The following is a 26,283-nucleotide window of genomic DNA, read 5'->3' as shown; positions in this document are numbered from 1 at the left end:
GGGAATATCAATAAGAATAAAAACAATGAAAACCCTATTTAGGCACATAATATTCAAAGTGCTAAAAATTAAAGACAAAGAAAAAATATGAGACAAATCAAAGCAGAGGTGGAGGAAGGGGGACACATTACTTTCAAAGTAACAACAAAATTGATGGATGATTTTTCAGTAGAAACTATGGAAGCCAGAAGACAATGTCTTAACATCTTTAAAGAGATAAAAGAAAAATATTGCCAACTTAGAATTTTATACCAAGTAAAAATATACTCAAAAGTTAAGTCAAAATAAATATATTTTCAGACAAATAAACCTTGAGCAAGTTTAAACTTTTTTCCACTTTTGTGTTTCAGTTCAGGCATTTTTAAAAAATGATCTCGTCTTTGAGTTAATAAGTTGTGTCCCACATGCTCTTAAACTCATCCAATGAGCTCCCAAGTTTAGAGTATCTAGAGAATGGCACTATAAGTTTTACTCAAGGAAATGTTTCAGGCTGAAGGAAAATAATCCCAGGTGGATATATTAAACTTTAGGAAAGAACAAAGGGCACAGTAAAGGAAAAGTCTGTGTGTAAATATTAAAAGGATACTGACTTTTTAAAACAAAAATAAGGAAAGAGTTGGAGGAACATAACAATGTGGAAATAAAACTAACAATATCACAAACAAACTGGAGGGCCTTAATGAGGTTAAACTGTGGTAAGCTTTTTGCATTGTTTGTGAAGCGTAAAATATGAATTTAAAATATATATATTGAGAAGCTAGGAAGGCATATTAATTTCCCACATAAGAGCTAATAATGTCAGGAATATAAAACTAATAGAGGAGATAAGTGGAATGAATACAATATACTTAATTCAAAACCAAGTAGAGAAGGAGGAATAAAGGAACGAAGAACAGATACGATAAATAGAAAAAAAATAGCAGGTAGGTAGAATTAAAGCAACTATTTCAGTCATTATATACGTAAGTACACTAAGCACTCCAAAAAGAAAGATATAGTAGATATTTTAAAAACAGAAGACTCAATTAAAGGTTCTTTATAAGAAATATATTTTGAAGTTTAACATTCTTATCTGAGAAGCAATAAGCCATAGCTTTGGCGATGAAGCACTCTGGGTTTGAATTTTAACTTCTAATTATTAACTGTTCAAACTTTAGTTAGTTACATAACTTCTCTGAGTTTTAGTTTCCTCATCTATAATGAAAGAACAATAATATGTATCTAATAGGGTTGATGTCAGAATGAAATAAAATTAATGAGAAAATCTAGGGCAGTGACTGGTAGACCCTCAATAAATGATAGATATTATTTTCACTCTCAGCACCAACACCTCCTCATCCCAGTCTCTCTTAGGGAGGCACTCTTACATTTTGATTAATAACCAGGGTGATAGAATTACATTACTTGACTTTTAATTCCATCTCTATCAGTTACTAGCCATGCAACCTTGAGTAAGTTGTTAAAACTCCCTACACCTTGGTTTTCTCACCTGTAAAATGAGTACTTCTCAGAATTATGAAAGTAAAATGAGGTCCTCTGTTAAGACACTTAGTACATTTCCTGGAACATAATGAGTACCCTCTACATGGTAGCCAGAGTACCTATTAAAACATAAGTCAGGGCCAGCCGCAGTGGCTCACTCTTGTAATCCCAGCACTTTGGGAGGCTGAAGTGGGCAGATCACCTGAGGTCAGGAGTTTGAGACCAGCCTGGCCAACATGGTAAAACCCCCTCTCTACTAAAAATGCAAAAATTAGCTGGGCATGGTGGTGGGCACCTGTAATCCCGGCTACTCAGGAGGCTGAGGCAGGAGAATTGCTTGAACCTGGGAGGCGGAGGTTGCAGTGAGCTGAGATCATACCATTGCACTCTAGCCTGGGCAACAAGAGTGAAACTCTGTCTCAAAAATAAATAAATAAATAAGATCCTGTCAATTATTTGTTCAAAAGTTTCTATTGTTCCATTTTACTAAAGTTTCTAAAGTTCCATTGTACTTACAGGAAAAGTGAAAATCTTTACACATACCTACAAGATACTTCAAGATCTATTGCCTCTTTGAACTCATGTCCTAGTTACCTCTCTTTACTCATGTAACTAGTCACCCCCTTGCTTATTCCAGTTACTTTAGACATACTGGCCTCCTTGCACTTCCTTCAGATTCATGGCAAGTCAGTCATGCTGTAATCTCAGGGTCATTGCCCTTGAAGCTTTCATTAAGGTTCTTCCCTCTGTGACCACCCACACCTGCCCCTCAGATCAACATAGCTTGCTGCTTTAGCACTGTTGGGTCTTGCTCAAATGTATTATTCAGTGAGGGCATACAGGACTTTCCTAAATAAAATGGTATCTCACTGCCCCACCAACTCCACTTCCCTATCTTACTTCCTCAGTTTATTTTTCTGCTTAGGGGAAATCAACAGTTAACATTCTTTTCCATGAAAATTATGTGTGAGTTTACTGTGTGCCGTCCTCCATAACAGTGTAAAGCCATAAGGGCAGGAATTTTTGTCTCTGATCACTGTTAAAACTCCTAGCACTTTGACGACTACCTGGTAGATAGTAGGTACTCAAGAAGTATTTATTAAATGAAAGAATTTTAAAGGTAGTCACCATTATTATTTATTTCTTTGGTCATTTCTTCTTTCTTTAGTAACCATTGGAGACATTGGGCCATAACTGAATTCAAAACATAGCTAAGCCTAGTCGTCACTTCCTCAAGGACTTCTCCCCTGAATTCTCTGACTATGTCCATTCCTCCTGTTTTACCCACTCACAGCATTGATCTCTGTTTTGTGATTCTTTGGTTTAAGTCTTTCTTTTCCACAAGACCCGTATCAGTAGAGACCTCATTTATTTTTGCTTGCCGCTCTGTTCCCAAATTTTGTACAGTGTGCTTGGCACATAAAATGAATGCAACAATGAATGAATGATCAAAATGCGCTCGCATTCTTTTTTTTTGCCTATAATAAAACTAATTTTGCACATTGTTTGTCCCCGCTGGCTGTGCTATGTTTAGTGTTTGTTTGTGGATGATAAGCTTTCCTCATTGACACTGCACTATATGACTTAAGCTAAGCTGTGTGCTAGTAGGTATTCACAACTGTTTCTCTTTGGTTTGTATTCAGAATAAAAGTTAGAAGAGCAATAGGTTGCTAGTTAGCAAAAATCCATTTACTATTGCTCATGTTTGTGAACATGTCCAATTAATATTATGCATTAAAATTTCACAATAAGGATGACCCTGGAGATCAGACTAGTAAGAAAAAGAACAAAGTGAAGATAGAAGAATTCTTCTTTCTAGGAATAGGAAGATTATGGCAACTGTAGCATGGCCAAGAGAAAGGAATGGCTGTGTATTGGAAGGCTGTCATACCAGATTCCATTCAAAGTACTTTGCATTTATGATCCCATTTGAACTAAGCCACAATGGCAAATGTGGAAATGTGTGTGTGTGTTTTTATGTGTGCATATTTGTGGGTGTTTGAAAGTAGTAAGCTCTATCCCTGTCTCTGCTTTATATTAGCTATGTAAGCTTGAGCAGGTCAATTAATGCCCCTGAGCTTCTGCTTATACATACCAGCTTGGAGATCAAATAAAATAATGGATATGAACAGTCTTTGAAAATATCGAGAACAAGTGTATGTGTGTCCATGTGTATGTGTATGCGATGTTACAGGGGTCAAAGCAACAACCTGTTCCTCTGGATACATAATAATTTTGCATGTCCCCAGGTGAAAGGTTAGACTTGGTGTAAAGTCATACTATATCATCTTATTACCCATTTACTCATTGCAACTCAGTCCAGAAAATGTATTAAACATCTGTAATGTGCCAGACTCCATAAGGACATGGAGAATAAAATGAACTAAATATGATCCTGCCTCGTAGAGTTCACACTAGAGAGGAGGAAGCATATGGGCATAAAAATAACTATAAAACTCATGGCAGAGTATGCAGAATGCTATTAGTGGCATTTTACAAACAAGACACTAGGAAATCACACTCAATAATTTATTTAATCAATACTTACTGATTTCCAACTATGGACCAGGCACTATTCTAGAACCCAGAGAGATCACGGTGTACAAGAAAGACAAGGAGCCTGTTTTCATGGGGCTTACATTCTAGTGTGTGGAGACAGAGAACACCCTGGTAATGCCATGGATATATAAAATAATGTCAATTAATTACTGTGTTGAAATGGAATAGGGTAATGTGATAATGAGTACAGTTGAGGGTTGGGACAGAAGGTGGTCAGCTCTGATACCTGAGCTGAGGCTGGAATAAGAATGAAGTAGATTTGCGAAGAATTTATGAAGGAGATCTTCCACACTGAATGAATAGCAAGAGCTGGGATTAGGAGACAGAAATAAGCTTGTGGGGCTTTGGATCTGAAAGAAGGGATATGTAAAAGCATGCTGTGACAAGTGAAAAAGTGATATGAGATGAGGAGCGATGAGCGAGGGTGGATGGGGCAGATGGCACATTACATTTTGGCTATGGTGAAGAACTTGGGGTCTAATCAAGGTGCCATGGGAAGGCACTGAAGGTTCTAAAAAGAGAAGAGATAGGATTTGATTTCCATTTTAAAAGAGCAATCTTTTAAAATGCTATGTGGCAAGTGAGGACTGCAGTGGGGAGAAAATGAATTCAGGAAAACCAGACAAGAGGCTATTTTTGCAATCCAGGTGAATGATGATGAAGGGTGACCAGTAACTAAACTAGGAGCAGTCTAGGTGGTGAGAAAGACAGATGCAGGATATATTTTGGAGGTAAGCCAACAAGAGTTGGAAGAAGAGGAGAAAGGTTGTTTCTAAATGAAGAATGCTTCCATTTCTATCTTTAGTTCAAAAGCCTTTTATGTCAAACAATATAGCAGCTAATAAATTGATTCTATAAATATATCTAATGTACATTTAAGCTAATATTAAATTTCTTTGGGTCTTCAGAGTTTTTACTGTAAAAAATAGCACAAAATAAAAATGCTTAATAAAGAAAGTTGTAAAATACAGAAAAGCATAATTTTTAGATAAAAATATATATTATAAAATATGCTACATACATATCTAAGATGAGAATGCCTATTTTTTCCCTTAAAAATGTGATTCGATCTCGTATTTGGGGGCGGGAGGGGCATGCTGCTGTGCTGTATCAGGTTTTGCCTCTTTTTCTGCAGCGTCTTTCAAAAACTGAAAACAATTTAGCCACGTTATCCCAAATGCTAGGTGTGGACATTTATTTCCTCATATATGGGCGGTGACTTCCACCATTGGGGCAAACGGACCTGGAAATGCCGAGATGTCCCAGGAAGTCTGGAGCTGATGGAGCCCGTGTCCATCTCACCAAGACCTTAAATATAATGCAGAGTCCCTGCTGCAAATCCATTCCCATCCGTGCTTTGAGACGGAAGGAGGGAAATTGCAGCTATTTACAGCAACCACCATCTGAGCAAGGACTGATTCATGCAGTACCTCGGGGAAGCTAGGTTGGAAACCCTTGTCAACATGCAGTCAAGTCTATGGTTAGAACTGGCCAGTGTGCGCCCTGCATCTGCGGGAGGGTCCGGGGGCCATTTGGAATTTGGTTTTTTTTTTGTTTGTCTGTTGTTTGTTTATTTGTTTTTTAGCCCTCTCTCTAAGGGCTAAGGATTCCATCGAGGTAAGGAATGGGCGGGAGTGAGTCCTAAGCGGGCGCTCCCGGAAGAGCGGCTGCGAGCAGCGGGGCCGCAGTTCGGCGGTATGGATCCTACCCCTGCCCGCCCCGAGCCGACCCGGGCTTGATGAAGTCCCGGGCAGCCCGCGAGGCTGCAGTGTGTCACGCACCAGCTCCCGGCGGCGTCCTCTTCCCCGCCGCGCGCAGTAATGGATCTCTGCGTCCTAAAAGAGGAAGATAATGCCGGTGTTAGCTTATAAATAGATGGTTGCATGCTCTCCCTGCGAAGCATTGATTGAGGCCGCTAAGCTGACTATTGATCTAATTTTAACTTACATGTTCGCACGCACCCTCCCCGCCTCCCTGTCGCGGCTTGGTGGAGCGCGGGGCACGCTGTCTCTCGCGGCCGCCAGAGGGCGGGCCACTGGTCCTCCCGCCACCCTGCCCGTCTGGCCTCTCTGTTTACGCAGACGTACAATGCTGGCCTTTATTGGGTTTGAAAAATAGGAGTTTGATTTTCCTGCACCGGGATGACCTCATCACTCATGAAAGTCGGAGGAAAGCGGGGAATCGGATGACAGGCAGCCGGGAAAATAAAGCTTGCATTTCACCTCCTCCCACTCCACCACCTACACAGAGTACTCGGGATGTGCTTCTCATTTTAAAACCACCTTGCCGAAGCCGGGAAGTGGGAGACGGCGGTAGGAGTGGAATGTTAAATTCTTCTTGGTACTCTGGCACTCGGTGTGCAGCGGCTTCTGTTTAGAAGGTTAATGTCACCTACTCTCTGCCTACAGAGCCTCTTGTAAGGGCGCTCTCCTGAACTGTCACTAAATGGCAATGCAACAACATTATCTAGGAGTGACTTGACTAACATATTACTAATTATTTCTAGACATAATTCATCTTGCCAAAGTTTAAGCAATGGTCATCAGCAATTTTATACTGCTGGCTTGTAAATTTCAAATCTGCTTATGACTTCAAATTATTAAGGTAGGGAATTACAGTCTATCATAGTTTTGCTTGCCGCCTTTTGGGACCACAGCACATCAGGATGGGGGTATAGGGTAAAGTAAATGAGAGGGAAAGGGAGACAGAAGACAAAGAAAGATGCCTTCCCTGAAATTCTCCAGCCCTAGAACTCAGCACGTGAACAAACTTTCCTCTGGGATTCAGTGAAACATATTAATAGGAGTCAATGTTTATCAGGCACTTGCTATGTCCCAGGCATTGTACTAACCGTTTTATATTTGTTACTTCATTAAATCCTCAAGACAACCTATTGGTTAGATTATATTATTATCCATATTTTAGAGTTGAAAAAAACTGAGGCAAGTTAGTTGCACAAAGTCGATTAGCTAGAAAGGGACAAAACCAAGATTCAAACCTCAGTAGAGACTGACCCAGAGCCTTGCTCCACATCACCATGTCGAGTGTCTTGACGACATACCTCCCTTGGCAAAGTCTTAAACTCTCTGCATCTCTAAGCAAAGGAGGGTGCGTGTGAAGAGAGATGGCCACTTTCAAATAAGGCCTATCTAGGCTGAAATGGAAAAGCTCTTCATAGGGAGAGCTCTTGCAAAAGTGAAAAACGTACAAAGAAATGATCATCCTCAGTGTTGCTCCTGATAATAGCTTATAGGATGGAAATAAACCAGAAGAAGGAAACTTCCATTAAGGGGACCTCACCTGGCTATTCATTCCACAAACATTTGCATACAGTGGACTGGCCATTGTGGTTGGCACTGAATTATGGTAATGAAGAAGACAGAAGTGCTCTATCCCCTCATGGAACCTCGTGAGAGAAAGGGGTTATAACTAAGTGAACAATCAAACACATAATTGTAATTTGTGATGATTACAAAGGGGCCTGGTATACTTCGGAGGAGGGAGTCAAGAAAGCCTGTCCGAGGAAATGCCATTTACACAGACAGATACAGCATGAGTAAGGGTTAGCCGGGTCCAGGATGGGCCTGGGCATAATATGGAGAGATATGAGGAAGCCTTGAGGAGGAAATGGTGTTGGGGAATGAGTGGGAGAGGAAGCTGGAGAGCTCACGTGGGATCTGATAAACCAGAGTAAAGATTGGTGACATCATGTTAAATGCAATGGGAATACCCCCTTAAGAGATTCAAGAATGAGAATAAAGCGATCCAAATTGTATTTTAGAAAGATTGCTTTGTTTGCAGTGGGGAGAATGGATAGGAGGTAGGATGAGGGAGTGAGTGTGGAGAGACTTCAGGAAGTTTGTGCACTAGCTCAGTGAGGATTGATAAAGGTTTGGACAAGGCCTGCCATAGTGGAAATTGAGAGAAGTGGATAAGCTATTTGCAGTTTGGTGATGGATTGGACAGGATGACTGATGGACAGAGCAAGGTCAAGGATCTCTCCCAGTTTCTGGCTTGAGGCACTGGATTGAATGAGGCATCATTTACTAATCCAGATGACATGAAAAGAGGAGCAAGTTGGGGAACCCTTGGTTTGGGCCTTTCCTATTTGAAGAGTGAAGGCTGCTGACCATCCAGTCAGAAAAGAGACTTCAAAAGTAAGGTTTGAGTGAGTTGCTGATATGGACAGAAGACAGGGAAATACTGGGTAGAAGAGGGCGATTCCCCAGCAAAGGCCCCACCCTCAAGCCTGGATACCCACGGCCCTAAATGAGGACAGGCATTCTTGTTTTTGCTCCCAAAAAGTTGCCCTTTGGCCCACCATACCCCCTAACCTGTACCCATATAAACCCCAAACCCCAGGCTCCAGAGGCAGACTAGGAGATGAGGAGACACACAGATGAATGGCGGAAAGGTGAGGCAGAGAAAGAGAGAAGAGAAGGAGCATCTGAAGGCTGAGAGGAGTTTGGCTGGGGACAGTCAGAGAGGAGTTTGGCAACTGGATGGCCAAAATCCAGGGTAAGATCATCTTCCCATTCCCTTGCCACTTTCAGCTCCCCATCCATCCTGCTGAGAGCCACCTCTACCACTCAATAAAACCCCTGCATTCATCCTTCAAGTCTGTGTGTGACCCAATTCTTTTGGGATGCCTGGGTACCAAGGGGCCAATGAGCTGGTTAACACTTAAGCCATCTGTGGATGGCAGAGCTAAAACAGCATTGTAACACTAGGGTTGCAGGCACCCACCCCTAGACGCTGCTGTGGGGCCAGAGCCCAAAAGTGCTCGCCCCAATTCCTGCACCTGCCTGTCTGCATACTCCCCCTCCCGTAAGGGGTTTGAGCTCATGGAGGTCGAACAGAGAGCTGCACCCCTTGTCACACACCCTGCAAGGGGGGGCCAGAGAACTCTCCCACCTCATTATCATTTCTTTATTGAAGTGACCTATTTGTCATTGTTCTTACCATTGCCACCACTGTCAAAAAGCTCAGCTTTAGTATTGCTATGTGTGAAGTGGAAGAAGAAAACAAGAAAGCTATGGTATATGTATTTGCTTTTTGATATGTTTTGGATCTATGTCCTTACCCAAATCTCATGTTCAGTTGTAATCCCCAATATTGGAAATGGGGCCTGGTAGGAGGCGATGGGATCATGGGGACAGAGTTCTCATGAATGGTTTAGCACAAGCGCCCCAGCGCTGTTCTCCTGATCCTGAGCGAGTGAGTTATTGTGAGATCTGGTTGTTTGAAAATGTGTAGCATCTCCTCCCGACACTTGGTCCTGCTCCTAACCATGTAAGATGCCCGCTCCGGCTTTGCTGTCTACCATGAGTAAAAGCTTCCTGAGGCCTCCCCAGAAGCAGATGCAGCACCATGCTTCCTGTAGAGCCTGTGGAACCATGAGCCAATTAAATCTCTTTTCTTTATAAATTACCCGGTTTCAGGTATTTCTCTATAGTAGTGCAAGAAAGGACTAATATACTTTTGTTACAAAACCTGGAGTCTGTGGCGGCCAAACTGAAAAAAACAACAAGCAGCAACTCTTTACCTGTATGTCACTTGCAGGACTGGTAAGCAGCATTGTGGTTTATAGCCCTACATATGAGGAGAATCACAGAAAGTTAGAACTGGAAAGGATCTCATTACACTCATTAGGAAACCAAAGACACAGAGATGAAGTGATTTGTCCAGGGTCACACAGCAAGTATGTAAGTGAACAAAAGCGGGGGTCAGCGAATAGGTCTCTGGTTCTTTCTTATGCCACCCTGCCTCTCAAGGGTTAAGACTTTCTCTGTTAGACACATATGCCTTATTCATAAGGACAGGATGCCAGGCTATTATTAAACCTGGGAATACACTTTCATTCAACCTCTGAGAAATGCAAGTGTCTAGACAATACATTCTCCTCACCATTCTGCAATTTTCCAGGACAAGAACCCCAACTTCCCTTAGCATAGCTTGGCATTTGGCTAGGCCCGAAGTCATCCAGCTTCTGGCAACAGATCATTCTCCAGGCAGTGGGTATGGACAGATCATTTTCTTCCTCAGGTCCAGTAGGATGTGCTCTTGCCTGTGGGAGCCTGCCAATAATGAAGGAAGAGTTGATCACCTGCTATGCATCAGACCCTTTACCTACTGAGCTCTCCTAAGTTATCATAAAGACTGGTTGCTCCTTTCCTTCTTGCTCATTCCTTTTCTCGCCTTCCATTCTTTGAAAATTTTAGAATTGGAGTGGAACTAGAAATCATTATTCTGTACTAAAGAAGCATCTCTGCTTTAGAGTCATAGAAATGTCTGTTTCTTCTTCCTGATATGTGTAGAAACATGAGATCAAATCAGTTGTCCCAGGACTTTGACTTATTAAGAGTGGCAACATAATTAAATTTTGCCACTACCAAGGTAAATCAAGAAAGATGAAAATGGTTTAAGTCTATTTATCCATCACACCGTTTTGAAATAAGGTTTTCTACAGCTATGATTTGTGGAGGTTATGGATCTTAGATGTTAGATACGAACAGTCCTATATCCCCAAATTCATTAATTTATTTTTGTCTCTTCAAGTAGTAAATACTACTGTTCATTCATTCATGATTATTCTGAAATATTTCATTTCTAGAATTATCACCCTCTCTTTCTTCTATTACAAGGACAGTAATATTTAATGGCAGTAGTTTTGGAAAGAAGGATACATTCTGTGCTATGATTTACAGAAAAGCATCTGATGGCATTTCTCAGCAGAGATTGGCATTTATGTAACAGAAAACAGTCAAAACAGTTTTTAAATTAAAAAACTACGTAAAAACAATGGCACAGAGAGATAGTTAGGAGTCATTCCTGCAGTGTAGAATTCAAGCACTGGGGACTGTCAATAATTTAATCAAATTACTTAAGTGCAAAAAGTTGCCTCATCATTCAGTCATAGTTCTTTTCAAGAATTCTTCCCACCTTGTCCATGGGAGATTTAATATTTTTATTTATATTTTTCTGCATTTTAAAGTTTTCTATAATGCAAATATGTTACCTTTTTCAAGAGGAAAAAAAGCAGAAACATTTTTTGAAATGTATCCTGCATTGGAAAGACCACCTCAAAATTTAGAGGATTATTGAGTAAAAGGTAGATGCTCCTTTGATATTAATCCCCAAAAAAAGTCATTGGGGGCAAGATGCCTGCAAAAGCAGGGAGGGTCTGCCATATAAATCAAGCTTGTCCAACCTGCAGCCCAAGGGCCACATGTGGCCCAGGATGGCTTTGAATAGGGCCCAACACAAATTCGTAAACTTTCTTAAAACATTATGAGATTTTTTCGCGATTTTTAAAAAAGTTCATCAGCTATTGTTAGTGTTAGTGTATTTTATGTGTGGCATAAGACAATTCTTCTTCTTCCAATGTGGCTCGAGGAAGCCAAAAGATTGGACATCCCTGAAAACCATAGGAAGAGTTTAAGAGTTGGAAATACTATTGATGAGGCTGCCCTTAAATGGGAAAAACATGTTTATTCTTTGATATTGGAGAATAACAGTGATTTACCATTCACATACCAAGATACACCAAAATGACACTGCTTTGAGTTATTTCTCCAGAAGAGGCTAGGCTGGTGCTGGCCCAGAACATAGACGTTAAATTGGAAGATGTCTATTTGGGATTAGGTGTCCAGTTTCTAACTATAAAATACAATCAGTTAATGATCCTAATTAGGTTTATAGTCCTTAACCTTGACCTCATTAGCAGACAGTGGTCCTAACTGCTCACTCGCATGCAAGAACATTCTTAACATAAGGTGCAAAGATTAATGAAGAAAAAGGACAATTTAACACTGTAAGAGACCTTTCCCGATCAGCCAATGGGCAAGGGATGGCAATTTCTTTCTGGAGATTGTAAGCAGATGAATTTTTAAGAACAACTCTCTAAATAAGCAAACAGAAGCATTTTTTTTCTGCTTTTCATGCTGCTTATCTGGCCTTGGCAAGCTGTTCATTGAAGGGAAAACATTTCTTTAACAACAAAGATTTTAGGAGGTTCCATTCTTTTCATGGCCATCTTGATACCCTTTGACATGCTGAAACATAAACACAGAAACATGGTGCTTTCATCATCTCTCCCTACTGGGCACACATAGCTTTTTTGTTTGTTTGTTTTGTTTTGTTGTTGTTGTTGGTGGTGGTAGGAAACTAAATCTGTCTTCCTGATGCTAATCAAGGAAAGAAGACTGGGAATGAAAATGTCTAATTTTTGTTTTCAGTTGCGTTGAGGCAGAAACACCTTTTCCTACTCTTCAGTTGTTTTAATTGTTTCCTCTCCTTTTATTCCTTCCATTTGGAGTTGTGGTTCCCCATGCTTTTCCTGCAGAGATCCACATATATGCATGTGCCACCCACTCCCCGGGTGCAGAGGCAGGATGGGCTGCAGGCTGGTAACACTCCTCCACAACCTTGCAAAGGCTTCACCCACTTCTCTCCTACTCTGAGAGCACATGGAAATGTGTGGGAGTGAGGTGACCTTAGGCAAGGATAATCTCACATCCACTCCAATTTACATGAAAAATGCTCCATTTGCAAACTTCAGAACTTAATTACTTATAACAAATTACTTGTGGAAAACTCTACAACTGACTGGGGCAGTATGTGACAGTGCTGTACTTGGGAATTAGAACTGTAATATAGTCCCATTTTCACGACAGAGTGTGGGACAGGGTCTATAGAATTTTGCCACAGGGGGCCCCAAGACCATCCAACCACAGGATTTCATATTCAGAGCAGAAGTGTCTTTGTCCGTGGTGAGTCGGTGTTTAGTCTGTATAACAGAAAGACCTTAATTCTTTAAGACCTGATGCAAATTAAAGAATCACCATGTACAGAAATACTGAAACAATCCAGATAAGAATGATTCATATTAATATTGAAAAGCTACATTGATCAAGGCACTTACCCTTTTGGTTACTCAGTTTCCTCTTCTTTAAAATGACTAGGATAATAGTACTTACATCATAGGACTGTTAATACCTGTAAAGTACTGTGAATGCTACTTGCCATACAGTAAGTTCTCCTTAAAGGTTAACTCCATTATTATTACTCTCATTACACCAACACGGCCATTTTTGTGGCTAAACTGAGGATAAAAAACACTGCTAGTGTTGCTAATTTTAAGTTCTACACTCACCCTAAGTATAACATAATAATGAAAGAAAGATGGATATATGAGCATCCTTCAGCCAGTTCAATTTATTGTTGAGTCAGAATGAGATACAGATAAATAGAAAATTAGCCTTTAAAATTATTTCTAGTGGAATTGTAAATCAACACAAACCTTCTACAGGGTGTTAAGAGCCTTAAAATACAAATACCCCATGCACCAGCAATTCCTTAACTGTGAATTTATCTAATGGGCACAATCAGAGATGTGTGAAAAGATACATGTGTAAGATTCTACATCAAACTTATTTATAATACTGAAAAATTGGAACAGCCTTAGTGTTTAACAATAAGCTACCATTTAAATAAAACACATACATTCATGTGGTAGATGCTGCACAGACATTAAAAACCATGTTGTAGAAGACTATATATTGACATGGACAAATGTTCACGATATATAACCCAGTGAAAATAGCAGGTTGCAAAAGAGTGTATCATAACAATCCTATTTGAATGTAAGTGTAACAGTTGGACTGAAGTAGATCCATGCAAATTTTTTTTTAATGAAGCTTGCTATATTCTCAAAACTTCTTTGAACCTTAAAATCTACCCAGAGCATATGTCTTATTTTTTGTCCTATTTTTGTTTAAATCTTAGTCTAGTCCACTGATTTTTGTAATCTATTCTTGTTAAAGTCTTAGGCTTTCTCTGTTGACAATTCTGTCAAAATTCAATATCATTAGCTGTCCTTACTCATAGGTACAAGCTTTTTCTCCCTGAACTAATACTGTCTATCCCAGCTTCACCGACTCCAACCCCAGCGGGGAGGAGAAAGAACTCCTCTTCTTGTGGCTGGGAGCAGCAGCCTCAGTAGTAGGAGGTGCCTGTGTCCTGATCTGGTGGCACTTTGTTCCGTGGCATCTGCTATCTTGCTGTAGCTGTATGCATGGTTTCCTGAGGCCATGTTCAGCTTCATGCCAGCTCCCTCATGGGATGCTTTTGCCCTAGAGGGGCAGCTGCGTGTCCCTTCGGCCCCCACTCAGGTTGCTGTACACCTGTGATCTCTCTACAAAGCTCTGTGCTTCCAGCAGACATCGGGGTCCTCTTCTGTGCCTGAAAGTCACAGAGAACAGGGGAAGGCATGTCCACTTCCTCCTTCCTCCTTCCTCTTCCAGGCACACTAAAGGATCTCTTCAAGCCCCACTGGCATACATTATGCCATCAAGCCTTCTACCTTCTGAAATTGCATGGAGCAGGAACCTTCACTGTCAAAGAGATGCATGTCAAACAGCTCCCTTACTTTCTGGGGTGGTGGTGGGAGGAGTGGGATGGCATGGGATGGTGGAAGGACCATGGAGCAGAGAAGGACAATTTGTCATCCCTGAGGGATCCCAGAGAGCCACCCTCAGAATCCCTTCAAATACTCCCTCTATTTTTTTAAACAAATCAACTATATTAAATTGTATTACATAAGATGAAATGCACCATTATAAATGTACAGTTTGATGAGCATTAACAAATGCATACGCTTATGTAAGCACCACAATCAAGATATGGAACATTTTTATCCGTCCACAAAGTCCCCTCTTACCCTTGTCAAGTCAATACTGGCTCTCCTATCCTATGCACCACTGATCTTCTTTCTGTCCCTTGAAATATAGTGCACACTTGCTAGCATTGCATGTAAGTAGCATAACACAGCATGTACATTCTTGCATGTGGCTAAGCATGATGTTGCTGAGATTTTATCATGATGTTGCTGTAGTTTGTTACATTTCATTGTCAAGTTGGGTCCCATTATATGGATATGTGACAGTTTGTTTATCCATTCACTGATTGATGGATATTTGGGTTGTTTTTCTGAGGGGGGGCTATAAACATCTATGTACAAGTCTTTATTTATGTGGATTTGTGCTTTAATTTCTATTGGGTAAATACCTAAGATTAGAGTGACTGGGTCATATGACAGTGTATATATAACTTTATGAAACTGCCAAACTGTTTTCCAAAGTAGTTAGTTGTACTATTTTTTATCCCTATTGGAGGTGTATAAAAATTCCTGTTCCTCCACATCCTTGCCAACACTTGTTTTTGTCAGTCTTTATAATTTTAGTCTAGTGGGTTTATAGTAAATCTCATTATGGTTTTAATTTCATTCCCCTGATGATTAATTACGTCGAGCATCCTTAAAGTGCTTCTTAGCCACTTGTATGTGTTTGTTGGTGGGGCGTCTGTTCAAACCTGTTGTTCATTTTTTTTAAAATAAACTTTTTATTTTAGAAGAGTTTTTGATTTACAGAAAAGTTGCAAAGATTGTGCAAAGAGTTCCCATATGCCACACACCCAGTTTCTTCTACTGTTAACATCTTACATTAGTATGGTACATTTGTCACAATGAACAAGCCAATACTGATATATTATTATTAAAGTTCATAGTATATTCTGTGTCTTCCTTTCCTTTCTTACCTAGTGTCATTCCCTACCTCTCCCAGGATCCCATCCAGGACAGTACATTAAAAATGGTTGCTATATCTTTTTAGGCTCCTTTAGACATCTGTTTCTCAGACTTTCTTTGCTTTTGATGACTTTGACACTTTTGAGAAATACAGGCTAGGCATTTTATAGAAGGTCCCTCAATTGGAGTCTGTGATAGCTTTCATGTGACTCTACTAGGGTTGTGGGTTTTGTGGAAGAAGACCACAGAAGTAAAGTGCCATTCTCCTCCCATCATATCAAGGGTATGTACTGTTGGGAACAGGTCCCCCAAAATCTGGCCATAAACTGGCCCCAAAACTGGCCATAAACAAAATCTCTGCAGCACTGTGACATGTTCGTGATGGCCATAACACCCACGCTGGAGGGTTGTAGGTTTACCGGAATGAGGGCAAGGAACACTTGGCCCGTCCAGGGCGGAAAACCATTTAAAGGCGTTCTTAAACCACAAAAAATAGCATGAGCAATCCGTGCCTTAAGGGCATGTTCCTGCTGCAGATAGCTAGCCAGACCCACCCCTTTTATTTCAGCCCATCCCTTCGTTTCCCATAAGGGATACTTTAAATCTAACATCTATAGAAACAATGCTAATGACTGGCTTGCTGTTAATAAATACGTGGGTAAATTTCTCTGTTCAAGGCTCTCAGCTCTGAAGGCTGTGAGACTCCTGATTTCTCACTTTACACTTCTGTATTTCTGTGTGTGTGTCTTTAATTCCTCTAGCGCCACTGGGTTAGGGTCTCCCCGACCGAGCTGGTCTCGGCAATGTGCTATCAGCATGACTTATCACTACTGATGCTAACCTTGATTACACAGCGAAGGTTGTGTTTGTCAGCCTTCTCCATTCTAAAGTTACTCTTGTGTTTTCCTTTCCCATACCATACTCTTTGGAAGGAAGTCGCTATGCAGTGCCCACACTTACATGATGGGGAGTAATACTCCACCTTCTCAAAATGGAATGTATGAATAAATTATTTGTAATACTTCTGTATTGTAGGTTGGTCTATTTAACCAGATTTTTAAAATCCAATGATTTTTTATATCCTATGGAGAGTATGCATTCAGTATTTATTTTCCACTTTGGATGGATTATAAATCAATATTTCATTATTGATTTTGTTGCTCACATTGTTTCAGCTTTGGCCATTGGGAGATTCTTTACTTAGTTCCTGTATCCATCTGATATATCCCCATCATTGTGTTTTCTCGAGCCCTTCCTCACATTCTGAAACTACAAGATAAGCCAGGCTCATCTAGTATAGCCCTTGCCCCAGCCCTGAGACCAGCCATTTGTCTCAGGAGCCACAGTTCTTTTATTGGAGAATGTTAAAAGAAACATAGAAATAGGTTCTGAGTGTGATTATTTTTACTAAGGTATCTGTTGTCTATTTGTAAATTGGATTGTTTATCTTTTCATGGTGGAATTATAAGGAGTGTTTTGGGTTTTGTTTTGTTTTTGATTCTAGATACATATTCTATATCTGATATGTGTGTTGCAAATATTTTCTCCCAGCCCGTGGCTAGTGGAGGGAGGAGGGTGGGTGGAAGGGAGTGCGAGTATAAAGAATTGTTTTGGTTACTTGGATGAGGCTAATCAGGACATCATTGAAATATTTTTAAAATGTTCTTTACATGGAATTCCCGGTGCTCAGACTACAATTGTGGGTGTCGTTTTGCCTCAAGGTCCACTAGTCTCAAAGGAGGAAAGTGTCCCCAGGGTTTGTTCCTTCTCCTCGGATGACCAACAGTGTGGAACGAATGGCTGTGAGACACTTGAAGAAATGTTGAATTCAAAAGTGAGTCCACAAAAGACTTAAGCTTCAATAATGGCTTCAATAAAATCTGAGCTGAAGTGAGCATGATTATTTTATATGACATTGAAAAAACTCAATGTCAAATATGGCTGCTGTTTTTAGGCTTAAAACAGAAAAGAAGCTCATGTGTGGAGATAGATGTGTAGCCACTCACAGTCTAGAGCAAGAGGAATGTTGACACTAAAGTTCTGGCAGTTTTAAATTGTTTCTGATGATGGAGATTTCAGTGGCATTTTCTCAAAATATAACAGTAGGCTAAAATATTCATTTCCACACCAACTGAATGACTACTATGTGTAGGCAAAGCATTATGAAGGAAGAAAGATCAAAAAGTACTTCTCTTTTCTCCATAAGCTTATGGTTTGGTGCAATGATTTCTGGATTTTTAAAATTGTACACCCACATTTAATTATACACCCATGAGCTAGAGTATGACCTAATCCTAAAAAATAAATTCAAAATGATGAAAATTGAGTGAATTCAAATCAGTTAATTAATAGTATCATTTGACTATAATTGTTTTGCAAGCTTAGCTACTATTTAGAAACTCAAGCGAGATGGAAACAAGTTGACTCAGGACTTACCTTAAAAAAATGATCATGGTTGTCAGTACACTTTCAGCAAAAAGTCCTCTGCCATTTAACTATATCTTATTGTACAATCTTTGTACAATAGGAATTATTGATTATTATACTGTGCCTCTGTTCTAAGGTAATCTACCGAGTCATTAAAGAAAACGTGACATTGTTTCTAGTTTGCTCTTTTACTGAGGCAGGGAAACCTTTAAACAAGATGTGTTAGAAATCCAGACTTTTTCAGATTTTTGAAAGGTAACATAATGCATGAATAGTATATTACATAACCCCCCAAGCAGGATCTGGGACAGATCCCATAATCAAACTCATTAATATCTCTAAATGAATATTTGAATATAAATAGTATGCATAAGGGCTATACATAATCTCCTGTCAAACCAGTTAGGTTTTGCCACCAAATGACGATGGCACAAAATACATTTTTTAAAAGAGAAAAGTTTTATTTCTAGAGATTTGGGGATTTTGAAAATTCAGGTAAGAAGTTGTCAAACTGAGTTATGTTTGAAAAAAATTTCAACAAAAGAATTAAACCTAAAAGGAGTTTTGGGTCTTGTGTCAATTAATAAAAATTGTGCATCAGTCAAAACATCTTCATTTCTATGAAAGATAGTCATTTGAGATAGGCTCTTCACTAATATTTGTGGGGGCTGGAGCAAGAACGTAATGTGTTGTAGAAAAAAAATGGTTTCTTGTCACATGACCAGGAAAGATTAGGCTCATGGACACATAGAAGGGTTAGGAGTGAAATTTTTTGGGTGGAAAGGAAAAAGGAGAAACAACTCAGCAAAATAAGATACAGTCCCAGTAACAGTCTCTCCACCTCAACGATATAATCCCAGGTCCCCACCCAGGAACAGGAGAGGCCAGGCACCTCCCCTCTACAAATGGTGAGAACTTCTCAAGGTTCCACCCCGTCCTCCCAGAGCACAGGCCAATAGGAGATTCTCCGGTGAGCCCTTTTTACTTGGCTGTCTCAAATGGGGACCCTCATACCATATGCTAACAAATTGTTTAATAAATATGTCCTGTCTGTCTACCTTTTTAAGGATACCTTCATAATGAGAAATTTTAAAAAGATGACTGCATTTTATTTTTTTTATATGACTGGGTATCCTGAAAGGGTGAGTAATAAAATAAAGACATATATAATTTATGAATTATTATTTGCTTGCTCCATAAAATTGAATATTTCTCTTCTCAATATAAAAATACAAATTATGTTGTTATAATCAAATTTATACGATTGACAGTAATGAACTAATTGATTAAAATCTTCAATATAGATTAATAAAAATGTAAAAAGTTAATGTAAAACTTTATATTGGCAAATAAAAAAATTTTACGTTTCCCAAAAAATATATTTTTATCTATTAAAATTAAAAGGCAGAATATGAATTATATGACAATACATTTTAAATTTAAAAAGTATATGAAACTAAAATTTATTACTTTATTTTTAAAATGTAATTACCTTTTAAAAATGCATGTATAATAAAATATTCATAATTCTAACATTTGATGTTTATCTAGTTGCCAATGTTAAGAATCAGTATCTTGATTCTTGCATGTTATGTCTAGACCTACATATATACATTTATGCATATATACACATTTAAGAGTAATTCAAACTTTTTAGCATTGCAAAGTGTTTCTCAGCTACCATGTGGAAATGCTGTGAACATCACATTAATGCATGAGCCCTTCTGGATCATGAATCAGATAGAACACAGAAGGAAACAGGAAGGTGGACTTTTAGCCTACTGGCAGAGGATTCTTCATTGTGCAAGAATCTACTGCATTTTTGCTATTTGAGAGAAAAGATTTGATGAGTTAATTTCCTTTTTTCCTACCCAAGTGCTTGAAGGGCTCAAATCCTCCCACTCTCTGTGGCCATGACCCTCTTAGCATTCAGACACAATCTTTTGTTTAGAAGACATTGGGCAAGACCTGTAGAGAAAAATTTCCCTGTAACTTAAGTGAAGTTCATAGAAAAAGAGGATTAGGTGACTGGTAGTCCTGTGACAATATTGAGTAGAAGATTCTGCATGTCAGAAGCACCAATGTGTTAAAGGAGGAATTAGCATATGAAAGCCAACCCAAACAAGTAACTGCCCAATCTGTTTTTAAAATCATCCAACAGGCGGGGCGCGGTGGCTCACGCCTGTAATCCCAGCACTTTGGGAGGCCGAGGCGGGCGGATCACGAGGTCAGGAGATGGAGACCATCCTGACTAACACGGTGAAACTCCGTCTCTACTAAAAATACAAAAAAATTAACCGGGCATGGTGGCGGGCGCCTGTAGTCCCAGCTACTCGGGAGGCTGAGGCAGGAGAATGGCGTGAACCCGGGAGGCGGAGGTTGCAGTGAGTCGAGATAGCGCCACTGCACTCCAGCCTGGGGGACAGAGCAAGACTCCGTCTCAAACAAAAACAAAAACAAAAAAACCTCCAACAGCAGAGCATTTCAGCCAACGGTTCCAATGTTTAAATAACGTTTTCCTATGGATGCTCTATATCTGTGGTCAGCAAACCCTAGCCGGCAGGCTGAAACCAGACCACGGACTGTTTTTGCAAATAAAGTTTTACTGGAACACAGCCATGCATTGATTTGTGTTTATGCCTGCTTTCAGGCTAAGATGACAGAGCTGAGGAGTTAAAAAGGCTGAAATATTTACTCTCTGGCCCTTTACAGAAAAAGGTTGCTGACCACTGCTCTATTTCTTTTTTTTGTTTTTATTCATTTATTTTATTTTATTTTATTTTTGAGACGGAGTCTCGCTCTGTCGCCCAGGCTGGAGTGCAGTGGCGCGATCTCGGCTCACTGCAAGCTCCGCCTCCCGGGTTCACGCCATTCACCTGCCTCAGCCTCCGAGTAGCTGGGACTACAGGCGCCCGCCACTACGCCCGGCTAATTTTTTGTATTTTTTAGTAGAGACGGGGTTTCACCGTGTTAGCCAGGATGGTCTCGATCTCCTGACCTCGTGATCCGCCCGCCTCAGCCTCCCAAAATGCTGGGATTACAGGCGTGAGCCACCGCGCCCGGCAGACCACTGCTCTATTTCATGACTAGCTGAAATCTTGCACAACAAAGTGGGGTCATTCTCTTCAGTTAGAGCCTCACTGAAAAATAGAGAACCACCCACAATGCCATCTCTACAAATAACCTTCGTATGAGAAGTCTTAAATACCCACTCTTAAAATGAGGTAACCTTGTTTATCTAATCCCCTTGATTTAACCTTCTCTCTTTTACCTGCAACCAAAATTTACAGTTCCCACATGTGCTTAATTGTTAAACAGGTTCACAGGTTAAAAGTATGTATGAAGAAGGCTAAAACGTTAATCACATATTATTCAAAAACTTAGGAGTAAAATTAATTTTCTCCTTAACCAGAGGCCCTTGAACATTTAAAGAAGTGAGCCATACCTAGATACGTCATGGGGTTCAGATCATTCCCATTTTTCTGCTCCCCTAAATTCTGAACACTGTGTCAATTTTCAGAAATGCTTTGGGCAGTCTGTGTGGCAGGGATACCACAGGTATAGCAAGGTCTTCCACACTAAAATGCAAACTGGGTTTTGATGAATGCAACTATTGCAAAACTATGAAGTGATTAGAAAACTTTTTGTTCTTTCTGCTTAATGTGGGTAAGCACTAATTTACTTTCTTTTCTTCTCTGTACATATTTCTCCACAAAAATGTACAGACTACTGAGAATGATTATGAGAGCAATAAAGAAAGGGCTAAGCCTCCAGATAGCTATCCTAACACAAGGATGATGTGACTAAGAATTCTGTTGCCCGAGGCTAGCAGAAGGTGTGCTTGTCTTTGTGGACAAGTGGTGCAGCCTAGTGGAAAGATGGTCGTGCCTGGCCTTGATTGCTAGCTCAGCCACCCACAGTTCTGTGAACTTGAACAAATTCTGTACTCTGTCTGAGCCTAACCTGTAAAATGGAGGTTTCCTGTGTCTTGCAGAGTTACAATGAGGATATGAAATAATAGCCATCCAGCATATGGCATTTGATAAATGACAGTTTTCATGACTGTTATTCTTATTGCCAGGACACTACACAGCTACCTACTCCAAGAGTAAGAGTGTCAGAGGGTGAGGTGAGAGGAGACAGACCACAGGCATTCTGGAATAACCACTATGGTCACCACCTCACCTCCCTTAATGTTGACAGTTTGCATGGCCCTGGAGATGTTTAGAGAGCACTTCCACAGTCACCACCCCACTCGCTTTCCTTTTCTCCCTCTGCCTAGAAAGTCAGGGACCTCTGTGACAAATTGCAGACACCCCTGGAACAAATGCAATGAAAGCTCAGAACCACAGGGAATTCCTAGACATGCAACAGCATGGCTGGGTCCTGCTTTTACTCAAAAAGTTCATTTTCTCTAGCTCCAGAGAAACAGACAATTTAGGATTGAAGTGGGAGCTTCACTTGGTTTCTCTTCCAGTTCCCCTCACAGCCAGTGGGCCTTTGGTTTCATCCTGAAAGTGCCCTAATAAGTCCACATCCTGTTCATCTTTCTCTGAAAGATCAAGAAGGAACAGAAGCCCGTGGACTCCATGACCCTCAGGAGGCCAGACCGGGGACTGAGGCATGAGGAAGCCAAGAAGACAATCTGTAGTGCTCACCCCAACAAGGCTGGCATTAGTAGGTGTGGGAGAGGCAGCTGCCTGCATCCTACAACCTGGGAGGAAGGGGGCGGGGGTGGGACTTAGAGAGAGTATATTATTTTGCTAGGGCCACCACAACAAAGTACCACAACCTAGATGGCTTAAAACAGCAGAAATGTATTGCCTCACAGCTCTGGAGGCTGAAAGACTGAAATCCAGGTGTTGGCAGGGCCGTGCTCATCTGAAACCTGTAGGGGAAAACCCTTCCTTCTGTCATTTGTGTGCAGCACTCCATGCTGCCTGTGACATCACATGGCACTCTCCCTGTGTGTCTTCACATTGCCTTCCCTCTACTTGCCTCTTCTCTTCTTATAAGAACACCAGTCATACTGGATCAGGGCTCACTCTACTCCTGTGTGACCTCATCTAGACTTGATTATGTCTGCAAAGACCCTGTTTCCAAATAAGGTCATATTGAGAAGTTCTAGAAGTTAAGAGTTCAGCCTATCTTCTGGGGGAGGACACAATTTAAACCCATAACAGGTAGTGAAAGGGGGGCGGTGGACTCCGGAGGTCTAACTTCCTCAGGTCTCCCCGCAAGCCCGGCACGACCACTCTTTTTTGCAGTAATATCCTTAGGGTTTTTTACCTTTAACCTTCAGTCAGTTTTTCCCCTGCAACACCCAACATTACAATCCTCTGTGGGATCTTCTTCACAGCTAGATTCCTGGGGAGTGGGATAGGCAGAAGAGCTGCAACCTCAGAATCTGCATTTTCTAGCCAGCCTGAGAATCACAGCCTTCAGGAAGAAAATAGGAGATTTGCTCTATTGCTGAGTTGGAGCAGGGACCCCTCTCTAAGAGGCTTGTGGTCTCCCTAAGCAGAAAAATAGAGGAAAATCTTGAGCTTCTCCAAGGGAAATTCCAGGCACCTAGCTAGCCCTGAGAAGTAAATAAGCAACTTGTTAAGCTAGAAGGTAATAGTAGCCTACAAACAGTAGCCAAGGAAGCTAGATTCACAGGATGTTTGGTTCCCCTATAGAAACTAAAGACAACATCTTAACATATATCTCTGAGTTGTTTTTTTAGAAACCTGGACCTGCACCAAATGGATCCTCCAGCACATAGACCTCAGATAAGGGGGAACTGAATACCGAACTCTACCTATCATTCTTCGTCCTAAATTTCTTCCTGAGGGGCCTGGAGAAAAGTCACACTCAGGGAGCTAACATTTGTTCTGCCAATCCTAAATTTTTGTTATTTATTTATTTATTTATTTATTTATTTATTTATTTAGACAGAGTCTTGCTCTGTGGCCCAGGCTGGAGTGCAATGGCAGTATCTTGGCTCACTGCAACCTCTGCCTCCCTGGTTCAAGTGATTCTCCTGCCTCAGCCTCCCGAGTAGCTGGAATTAAGGACATCTGCCACCATGCCTAACTAATTTTTATATTTTTAGTAGAGACAGGGTTTCACCATGTTGGCCAGGCTGGTCTCGAACTCCTGATCTCAAGTGATCCACCCGCCTCGGCCTCCCAAAGTGCTGGGATTACGGACGTGAGCCACCGCGCCCAGCCAACCCTAAATTTTTAAACAAAGCTCCTCCTTAACCAATTGCAAATCAGAAAATCTTTGAATCTACCCATGACTCACAAGGCCCCACTTCAAGATAATCTCTCCCTTTTAGGCCAAAACCAGTGTGTAACCTCCATGTATTGATTTATGATTTTACCTATAACATCCGCTGTCCTGAAATTTTCCCCTGCCTTGAAAAACACTTGCCTGCAAGCCACTGGGGAGGTCAGGATTTTAGTGTTAGCTGCCTGGTCCTCATTGCTTGGTGCCCTGCAAATAAATGCCTGGCTTTCTTTTGCTGCTATCCTGATGTCAGTGTTTGTCTTTGCTGTGCCGGGCAAGCGGATCCCAGTTTGTTTTTATAACATTGCCAGCCACATCTGCTATATGGTGAATGATCGCAGATCCTTTTGGAGTTCAGATATGGATAAAGTAAAGGAAAAAGAGAAGGCTTGGGGAACTTGGTGTGGGATAAAGAGGACAAGGGATTAGAATAAGGGTGCTGAGAATCTTAGATGGGGGAAACATCTTCCCACTACTCTCTTTTGCCAACAATTGGCCCTGGACACCAGCCTTTATATGTGGAAGCCAGGATAAATATTCTGCTATGTTGCTCCCATTCCCTTGTCAGTTAGCAAGTAAGGGCAGTCAGCCCAACAGGCTAGGCCAAGTTCTCCATTCCTCTTGGATTCTCAGGGCACAAACTGAGGCCCCCTCAGTCAAAACACCATTACCTGAGTAGACTCGGACACCTTGCTGATGTGGAGATGTGAGAGTGGTTTAAGAAACAGTAACAGGGTTTGTCCTGCCCTACTTCGTCATATGCTCCATAAGTGATAGATGCATAGGGCATCTGACTAGGAATAAGCCTGTTATTCCACTCCAGGGTAGGGATGTTCCACTCCAGGGGAGGGATGCTGGTGTATATCTTCTCTGCACACTCTGGGCCCCAGAATTTTTATTGCAAAAAAGAGTTGAGGGGGGACCTCCTTTGTAGTAGCTATCTATTACCTTTGTTGTAGCTGAAGACGTTCTTCCATGGAACTCAGTGAAAATAACAAAAAGGAAAACTGAGAGTGGTTGAGCCAATACAGTGAAATGAATTATCCACAATTTACTAAGTACACAACAAGCTCTAAATAATAGAGTTATAGCCTGGTGTACTTCCCATGCATCCTGTTAGAAAGATCCTGACCTTCCAGATATTGGAAGGAGACTCTGGGTTCCTCTTCTTCAACTTCCTTTCAATACTGCTTAGCTTCCTGGAAGGCTGGTGGCTGCCTGGTAGAGGAGAAACATATAGGAAAGCATTCAAGAAATGAGTCATTGATCTTGAGCAAAGTAAAGAAGAGAGGCTGTCCCAGAAGTGAAAGGACAGAATAGACTCTGCATTTCCAGAAGGAAGAGTAATATTAAATGTCCAAGTACATGGACAAAGATGCCCCACTGAGGAAGTAGGGCAAGGAAAGGAATACTGTGGCCATTCACAAGAAGGGCTGGGCTAAGGGTAAAGATGTCAGTGTCCATCAACGAAAGAGACTTCTGGGGAAGGGTGTGGGAGGAATATATAATCAGTTTCATGCTTCTGTGTTTGGGGCCTAGAACACTAGGATGTAGTCCTGTTTTCCACAGTCGATTAATTGATATAGAATAAACTGTTGTCACTAGTAGCTGTCAGTGGAGCACTGACTCTGGAGCTAAGACTCTCTGGGTTTGAATCCTAGCTCTGCCATCCTAGTCGCATGACTTTGATCCAATTTAATTATCTTATCTGTTTCTTAGTCACAAAGGACTTATCTATAAAATGGAGATAAAAATAGTACCTACTTTGAAGTGTTTTGTAAAATTGAATTCATCTGAATAAAACAGAGCGTCTGGAACATAGTAAAGACTCTTAAACATTCTTTGTAAGAAAACTAATTAGCCAAAATTGCCTTGAGGGTCTGGTTTGATTCTGGTTTTGGCTGGGGATCTGAGTCTGCATTGTCTTCTGACCCCTTTCTAATTTGTACTTGACC

At 40.8% G+C, this 26,283-nt stretch overlaps 1 long non-coding RNA gene across 1 annotated transcript in view, besides 3 other annotated features; it reads right to left on the bottom strand.

Annotated features, from left to right (window-relative positions):
• Window positions 1–4,841: 4,841 nt before the first annotated feature.
• Window positions 4,842–26,283, bottom strand: part of LINC00636 (long intergenic non-protein coding RNA 636) — a 45,703-nt gene continuing 24,261 nt past the window's right edge. The window contains exons 2-3 of the long non-coding RNA NR_015394.1: window positions 9,949–10,118; window positions 4,842–5,876 (exon numbers count right to left, since the gene is read on the bottom strand). This is a non-coding gene — a long non-coding RNA (long intergenic non-protein coding RNA 636). The remainder of the gene's footprint in view (window positions 5,877–9,948; window positions 10,119–26,283) is intronic.
• Window positions 5,908–6,529: an enhancer, noted in NCBI's record as "H3K4me1 hESC enhancer chr3:107646067-107646688 (GRCh37/hg19 assembly coordinates)". NCBI's record gives its function as "activates a minimal SCP1, AML or CMV promoter by ChIP-STARR-seq in primed H9 embryonic stem cells {active_cell/tissue: H9 hESC(primed)}" and the evidence as "EXISTENCE:reporter gene assay evidence [ECO:0000049][PMID:30033119]".
• Window positions 6,160–6,219: an enhancer, noted in NCBI's record as "active region_20206". NCBI's record gives its function as "activates an Ori minimal core promoter by ATAC-STARR-seq in GM12878 lymphoblastoid cells {active_cell/tissue: GM12878}" and the evidence as "EXISTENCE:reporter gene assay evidence [ECO:0000049][PMID:35858748]".
• Window positions 6,230–6,319: an enhancer, noted in NCBI's record as "active region_20205". NCBI's record gives its function as "activates an Ori minimal core promoter by ATAC-STARR-seq in GM12878 lymphoblastoid cells {active_cell/tissue: GM12878}" and the evidence as "EXISTENCE:reporter gene assay evidence [ECO:0000049][PMID:35858748]".

The sequence above is a fragment of the Homo sapiens genome, chromosome 3 (genome assembly GCF_000001405.40).
Source record: "Homo sapiens chromosome 3, GRCh38.p14 Primary Assembly".
Classification (NCBI taxonomy): domain Eukaryota; kingdom Metazoa; phylum Chordata; class Mammalia; order Primates; family Hominidae; genus Homo; species Homo sapiens.
Note: the sequence above shows the minus strand (reverse complement) of the source record. Positions and strands in the feature narration are given on the sequence as shown.